Source organism: Homo sapiens, chromosome 16 (genome assembly GCF_000001405.40).
Source record: "Homo sapiens chromosome 16, GRCh38.p14 Primary Assembly".
In the NCBI taxonomy this organism is placed as follows: domain Eukaryota; kingdom Metazoa; phylum Chordata; class Mammalia; order Primates; family Hominidae; genus Homo; species Homo sapiens.
Genome location: NC_000016.10, coordinates 11,229,689 through 11,237,374, shown reverse-complemented (window position 1 = coordinate 11,237,374; position 7,686 = coordinate 11,229,689). Strand labels below are relative to the sequence as shown.

The following is a 7,686-nucleotide window of genomic DNA, read 5'->3' as shown; positions in this document are numbered from 1 at the left end:
TTTTTTATGGATACAGAGGTCTCACTATGTTGCCCAGGTTGGTCTCGAACTCCTGGCCTCAAGTGATCTTCCTGCTTTGGCCTCCCAAATTGTAGGGATTACAGGAGTGAGCCACTGCACCCAGCCTATTCTCTCTTTAGAAAAGAAAAGACACCATTTCTTATGACCCATATTGCAACACACTTTTTTTCCACTTAGCATTTCATAAGCATCCTTCTAGGTCATTGACTAGCTAGGGAGGAGCTGTCATCCCCATCAGGGCAGTAAGGAAGCCCAGGCCCAGCCAGAATGGGGAACGGACCCAGTGTTGACCTTGGGATGTGGTTTACTTCACCAAGTGCTCCTAACCGTCCACTGCGGGTTTGTTCCCTTTTCATGGATGGGAAAACTGAGGCTTAGACTGGGGAAGTCACTCTGGCTGGGAGCCCCAAAGCCCTGGGCCAAGTGGGAAGCGGCTGCTGGTCAGTCCCTGTCAAACTAGACACAACCAAGGCTTTGAGGCTGCATTATGAGAGGAGGGAGACTGGCCTCCTAGGGAGCCTGCATGGAGGCCTGGCACTCCAGTCCCTAAGGGACAGCCTTGCCTCCCTCCTGCCTCTGCCAAATTGCTGGCCCTGGAGACGTGCTGTTGTTCAACTTTTCAGGATCCATCTGGTGCAGAGACGCTCCATGGCTCTGGCTCAAACTGCGATGGCACGCCAGGCACTGCTGGAAGTGCCATGTACACCGTCTCAGTCATCCTTTCTACCACCCCATAGGGGGAAAACTGTTACAATCTCCATTTCTCAGATGAGAAAACTGAGGCCCGGAGAGGTGAAACAACTTGCTCAAGGTCACACAGCTAACATGTGGCAAGGCCAAAATTAGCCTTCAATGAGTTGTGTTTTTATTTATTTATTTATTTATTTATTTGAGACAGAGTTTCAGTCTTGTCCCCAAGCTGGAGTGCAGTGGTGTGATCTCGGCTCACTGCTGCAACCTCCGCCTCCTGGGTTCAAGTGATTCTCGTGCCTCAGCCTCCTGAGTAGCTGGGATTACAGGCACGTGCCATCATGTCCAGCTAATTTTTATATTTTTAGTAGAGACGGGTTTTCACCATATTGGTCAGGCTGGTCTCGAACTCCTGACCTCGTGATCCGCCTGCCTTGGCCTCCCAAAGTGCTGAGCTTACAGGCATGAGCTACTGCGCCCGGCCCTTCAGTGAGGTTTAAAGCCAGACAGAAGCATTAATATCCAGGTTGGAAACTTTATAAATGTGTTTTACTTTTTTTTTTTTTTTTTAAGCCGGGGTCTTGCCCTGTTGCCAGGACTGGAGTGCAGTGGCATGATCCTAGCTCACTGCAGCCTTAAACTCCTGGACTCAAGCAATCCTCCAGCCTCAGCCTCCCAAGTAGCTGGGATTATATAGACTGTGCTACCACACCTGGCTAATTTTGTTTTGTTTTGTTTTGTTTTTGTAGAGACGGAGTCTATGTTGTCTAGGCTGGTCTCAAACTCCTGGCCCCAAGTAATCCTGCATCAGCCTCCCAAAGTGTTGGGATTATAGGCATGAGCCACTGCACCTGGCGGCCAACTCTGTAAATTATTAACTACACACACACACACCACACGCTTGCACACACATGTGACAGCTGGCTGAGCGGTCTTATGTGGTATGCCACAGGGCTCCGGCCTCAGCTAATGCTCTTCCTTCCTTCTTCCTGGATTCCTTCATTAGAAGCCAGACAACCTGCTTATTGCAAGGACAATGAATTCACTGGGCAACAGAGCCAGATCCCAAACAAACCCTGGACTGGGACACTGAGTGGGTACAAAGATGAAATTGAAGACATAAATATCCTACATTTGGCTTAAAAATATCAATTGCTCCAATAGAAGGTGACTTTTTTTTTTGAGACAGAGTCTTGCTCTGTTGCCCAGGCTGGAGTACAGTGGCGCCATCTCGGCTCACTGCAACCTCTGCCTCCCAGGTTCAAGTGATTCTCGTGCCTCAATGTGTAACTGGGATTACACCACGCCCAGCTAATTTTTTGTGTTTTTAGTAGAGACAGGGTTTCGCCATGTTGGTCAGGCTGGTCTTGAACTCCTGACCACAAGTGACCTGCCCGCCTCGGCCTCCCAAAGTGCTAGGATTACAGGCTTGAGTCACCACGCCTGGCCAAGGATGACTTTTGATCTTAACACTATAGTAGGATATAAACTCAAGATTAACCATGAGCGTGGTGTGGCTTGCACAAGTTAATGTAGCAATAGGGCCATCCTCAGCAAGCATGCGCCAAATGAGGAGAGACTGGTTCTCACTCTGGAGTGAGATGGCCAGAATGAGAAGGGACACAGAATGAGATCGTGCTGGCTTATATGCTGTGTACACATGAATCCTGAGCTCTGACACCATGCCTGCACAGGCTCACGCTTGTGGGTGACAGTAAGTGGTGAAAACCGAATGGAGAACATTTATATCTGTCCTGGGTGCACAGTGTGCTCAGTAAGTGGAAGTGGCTGTGGGTTTGACAAGGAGAGGATGGGTGAAAGAATTAGGAGCACTGCCATTATTATTACTGGTGACATATCATTAGATAGGAGATATAAGAGATATAAGATATATATTATGGCCGGGTGCAGTGGCTCACACCTGTAATCCCACTTTGGGAGGCCAAGGCAGGAGGATCGCTTGAGCCCGGGAGTTCAAGACCAGCCTAGGCAACCTAGTGAGACCCCCGTCTCTACAAAAAAATAATATTTTTATTTGAAAAAGTATTATAACATAAGGCCTATTGTTTATTGAGCACCTATTATATGCAATCACTCTGCTAAGCACTTTGCAGGATCTCATTTCAGTCTGCAGTTTTCCAGATAAGTCATGTTAGAGCATCATATGAAATTGCTGGTTTTGGAGGTCGAAACCACAAGAGTGTTGGCAATTTCATATGGCTCAAGCTAATATCATTTTCATTTTATAGAGGAGGAAACTGAGGCCCAGAGAGACCAAAAGCCTGACAGTCTTTCCTTCCCAAAAGCAGGTTAAGAAAACCCCATTGGCCTGGAGGCTTCTGCCTTTTCAGAGGAATCAGATTTTGTCCTTGGTTCTTCCTCCTCACTCCCCATCTCACTCTGCCCCTGGGCCCACCACCCCGCCCCATTGTGGCCAGGTCTATATTTACAACTGGGGTTTCTGTGAACTGGGGAACTGAGGAAGTGACTTATCCCAGAGTCATCACCGAGATGGTGGTACCCAAGAATTTGAGTTCTCAGCCACCCCACCTCCACCAAAGTGAGGTTTTAGCCCCTTCTCTGGATTTCTAGGGCCTAGTCAGCCAGAAACAGAAACTATCCGCCTGGATCCAGAGAGGCCCCTGTCTGGTGGGCAGGATGAATGGGGTGGGAGATTTGTTTCCATTTCTTTTCTTTCTTTTCTTTTCTTTTCTTTTTTTTTTTTTTTAGATGGAATCTCGCTCTATTGTCCAGGCTGGAGTGCAGTGGTTCACTCTCAGCTCACTGCAACCTCTGCCTCCTGGGTTCAAGTGATTCTTGTGCCTCAACCTCCTGAGTAGCTGTGATTACAGGCGCCCACCACCACGCCTGGCTAATTTTTGTGTTTTTAGTAGAGACGGGATTTCACCATGTTGGCCAGGCTGGTCTCGAACTCCTGACCTCAAATGATCCGCCCACCTCGGCCTCCCAAAGTGCTAGGATTACAGGTGTGAGCTACTGCGTCTAGCCTTGTGTTCATTTCTCTGAGAGCAACACTGAGGCACATCTGTGCTAAGTCTGATTGTCAGCTGCCCTGAGAAGCTTGTTCAGGGGCAGAAACAAGAGGAAGTGGGTTTCTGGGCACCTAGGGGTCCCGGGCTGGTGCAGCCCGGCCTGAACATCACAGAGGCTGGCGGAGCAGCCCCTGCCCCACCGCTCCCGGGGTTGCCGGTGACCTGGCAGCTGAGCCGAGGGCCGCTGGGCTGGAGGGTGGAGTGCTGCTTCCAGGTAGTCAGACTGAGATAGACGCGGCCGCGGAGGCAGCGGAGGAGGAAGGGGGCAGCCTTGTCCCCGCTGTGCGCAGCCCGCCCGCCAGGCACAGCCGGTCTTCGGGGAAGTCGCCGAGTTGGAGTTCCAGGAAACGATAACGCTTGTTGAAACCTCTTTCTTGTGGCCTGGTCTCGTCACATGGCTTGATGGGGACCAACGTCAGGCAGGGCCACAGGCCTGAGCCCGCTCGCACCCGGCAGCCGCTGCCACCCCCAGTTCCCCCCATGAAGAGGGAGGAGGGGGTTGGGCAGGAAGGTGGGCATTTGCTGCTTCCCCATCCCAGGCACCTGGCGGGCCACAAGCAGACTGGTCCCCGCTGGCTGTTTTCACCCCAGTAACACTCCTTGTAGGCTGGCTAAGCTGGCCAGGCCTCAAATGCCCCCTCCAGCAAAACGGGCTGAGAATGCCTAGGCTACAGGCTTGCTGCCAAAGTGAAGACAGAGCTTCCTCCTGCCCCTGGAACATAGCAGATGCTGAGGATCTAGAAATTATTTTTTTTCTCTTTTCTTTTCTCTTCTTTTTTTGATAGAGACAAGGTCTTGATATGTTGCCCAGGCTGGTCTCAGACTCCTGGGTTCAAGGCATCCTCCCACCTCATCCTCCCAAAGTGCTGGGATTACAGGTGCGAGCCACTGTGCCTGGCCAGAACTAGAAATTATTTGCCCCTTTCCTATGAAGCCAGGGAATGTGTCTTTCATCTTGCTAGAGCAGGGTCTTTCTTTTTTTCTTTCTTTCTTTTTCTTTCTTTCTTTTTTCTTTCTTTCTTTTCTTTCTCTTTTCTTCCTTCCTTCTTTACTCTTCTTCTTCTACTTCTCTCCCTCCCTCCCCCTCCCCCTCGCCCTCCTCCTCCCCCCTCCTCCTCCCCCCTCCCCCTCCTCCTCCCCCCTGCCCCTCCTCCTCCTCCTCCTCCTCCTCCTCCTCCTCCTCCTTCTTCTTCTTCTTTTACTTTTTCTTCTTCCTTCTCTCTCTCTCTCAGCAGAGTCTCGCTCTGTCACCCAGGCTGGAGTTCATGGAATGATCTTGGCTCACTTCCACCTCCATCTCCCAGGTTCAAGTGATTCTCCTGCCTCAGCCTCCCAAGCAGTTGGGATTACAGGCATGTGCCACCACACCCAGCTAATATTTTTGTTTTTTTGGGGGGCATTTTTAGTAGAGATGGGGTTTCATTTATGTTGACCAGGCTGGTCTTGAACTCCTGACCTCAAACGATCTGCCCACCTCAGCCTCCCAAAGTGCTGGGATTATGGGCGTGAGCCAGTGTGCCCGGCTGGAACCAGAAATTCTTTACTCCTGTCCTGTGAAGTCAGGGAATGTGTCTTTCATCTTTCTAGAGCAGGGTTTCTTGACCTTGGCTCTATTCACATTCAGAGCCTGGTATGGGAGGCTGCACTGTGCACTTTAGGACGCTTAGTGGCATCCCTGGCCTCTACCCACTAGATACCAGTAGTACCCACCCCTACAGCGATTTGTAACACTGAAAATGTCTCCAGACATGCCCAGATGTTCCCTGCATGGCAAAACCCTGATTTAGATTCAGCGCCTGACACATAGTAGTTGCTCAATAATTAGCAGGTCTTCAACCAGCAGGTCTGGTTCATTTTCACACCCTACCACCTGGCATCCGAGGGGTGCCAAGGGGTAAGTTGGGAGGCCATTTACCCTCCAATCTTTATCAACACCCATCATAAATATACTATCTAAATAAAACCTGTGCTGGAGGCTTAGAGTTTGAGGACAGCAAAGTGAATTGGGGTGGGTCAGTCCTGAAACAAGGAGGGAAGGGAAAGGCCACGTGCCTGTCAGGGAGACGCCCCTGGCCCCATCCCCCTGCTTGCTTCCTGGAAGCTGGCAGCCTGCTTTCTCTGCAGTCAGGAGGTCACAGGGATCCTCTCAGACGACGCTTCCGATGCTGGCTTTGGGATCTTACAAGGACAGCCAGATCCCAACAAGCCTCCCCTGTCCACACGTCCTGCCACAGACATGGAGCTTCCAAGGGTCTTCATTTCCCAGTATCTTTTTCAGTTCCCTGCTCTTCAATACGAACGTGCAATGGAGGGTCACTGAAACCTTGAGGGCAGCTTGTAAAATGAAAGTCAAAGACCGAAACCAAGAGAGGAAAAAAACTCCAAAAAAACAGAGCCAGGTGGGGAGAAACAAAAGTCTTCGAGAAAATAAGGAAGCTTCAGAGAAATAAAATATATTGCATTCATATAAGAAGAATAAGATGCTGTGAAAAGGAACACTCAGAATAAGAGAATAAGAAAGAACTAGAGGCTGGGCACAATGGCTCACGCCTGTAATCCCAGCACTTTGGGAGGCCGAGGCAGGGGGATCACGAGGTCAGGAGATTGAGACCATCTTGGCTAACACGGTGAAACCCCACCTGTACTAAAAATACAAAAAATTAGCCGGACGTGATGGTGGGTGCCTGTAGTCCCAGCTACTCGGGAGTCACATTATTATTATCATTGTCATCCAACTCGATGTGCTTCTTTCTAGCCAAATGACCTTGGGACAATTCCTTCACCAATTTGAGTTTGTATTTCCCCATCTATGAGATGGGGAGACATTATCCCCAAGAAGGATCAGAATAGGGCTGAAATGAAATAAAAATAGCAGCTGGGTGCGGTGGCTCACGCCTGTAATCCCAGCCCTTTGGGAGGCCTAGGCAGATGGATCACTTGAGGTCAGGAGTTCGAGACCAGCCTGGCTAACATGGCGAAACCCCTTCTCTACTAAAAATACAAAAATTAGCCGGGCATGGTGGCAGGTGCCTGTAATCCCAGCTACTCGGGAGGCTGAGGCAGGAGAATCGCTTGAACCTGGGAGGCGGAGGTTGCAGTGAGCTGAGATTGCACCGTTGCACTCCAGCCTGGGCAACAGAGCGAGACTCTGCCTCAAATAAGTAAGTAAGCAAGTAAGTAAATGAATAAATAAAAGTTAAAATAGCCCCCTTTGAAGGACCCTCCTGCGTCTGTCCCCCACTTTAATACCTAAGTCTGAATCACCCCTGGCTCTTAGGCCTATCCATGAGGAGCCCAGAGCAGAGGCTCAGGGAGGGTTTGTGGGCCTGATTCAACTCTGACCTCTGAGCTGTGAAGGACACTGTCCTTCCCAGGGCTGGTCCTGCCACTCAGGACTCCTTCCTCTCACCTGCTTCCTCCTCAGAAAGGCCTTTGTCCACTTGACTGTCCCTTGGTCCTGCTCCAGGCCTCCAGGGCTCTCCCAGTACGATGTTGCCATCAGACAACACATGAGGCTTTGCAGAGATGCCAACAGGAAGGGCCCTCTGGCATCTGGCCCAGGATCAGGCCTTACCTGGCAGATCCAGAAGCAGAGACCTTAAAAGGGCCAAGGCAGGTGCTGTGCAGAGTCCTGGCTCTGCAGCTCAAGGCGGCTCCACATCAGAGTCCCACCACGGCTCCTTCTGCCGTGCCAATGGGAGCCAGTTCACTTCTTGAGCTCTTGCGTCGCAGCTGAAAAATGGGAATAACACTGGCATTTATCCTATAGGGGCATATACATTGTTCATTTATTCAACAAACATTCACTGAACATTTATTATATGACAGGCATTCTTCCTGGCTCTGGGCTGTTGGCAGTGAATAAAACAGACCAAATCCTCTGCCCTTGAGGAACGTATGGTCTAGCAGGGAGAGAGGCAAA

At 50.4% G+C, this 7,686-nt stretch overlaps 3 annotated features.

The window, feature by feature from the left end:
- Positions 2,129-2,423: a silencer, noted in NCBI's record as "tiled region #4189; K562 Repressive DNase matched - State 5:Enh". NCBI's record gives its function as "represses a minimal TATA promoter and a strong SV40 promoter by Sharpr-MPRA in K562 cells {active_cell/tissue: K562}" and the evidence as "EXISTENCE:reporter gene assay evidence [ECO:0000049][PMID:27701403]".
- Positions 3,991-4,230: an enhancer, noted in NCBI's record as "active region_10425". NCBI's record gives its function as "activates an Ori minimal core promoter by ATAC-STARR-seq in GM12878 lymphoblastoid cells {active_cell/tissue: GM12878}" and the evidence as "EXISTENCE:reporter gene assay evidence [ECO:0000049][PMID:35858748]".
- Positions 5,705-6,001: a transcriptional cis regulatory region, noted in NCBI's record as "candidate enhancer chr16.1224 targeted for multiplex CRISPR interference". NCBI's record gives its function as "positively regulates ATF7IP2 gene expression with high confidence in K562 cells {active_cell/tissue: K562}" and the evidence as "EXISTENCE:mutant phenotype evidence [ECO:0000015][PMID:30612741]".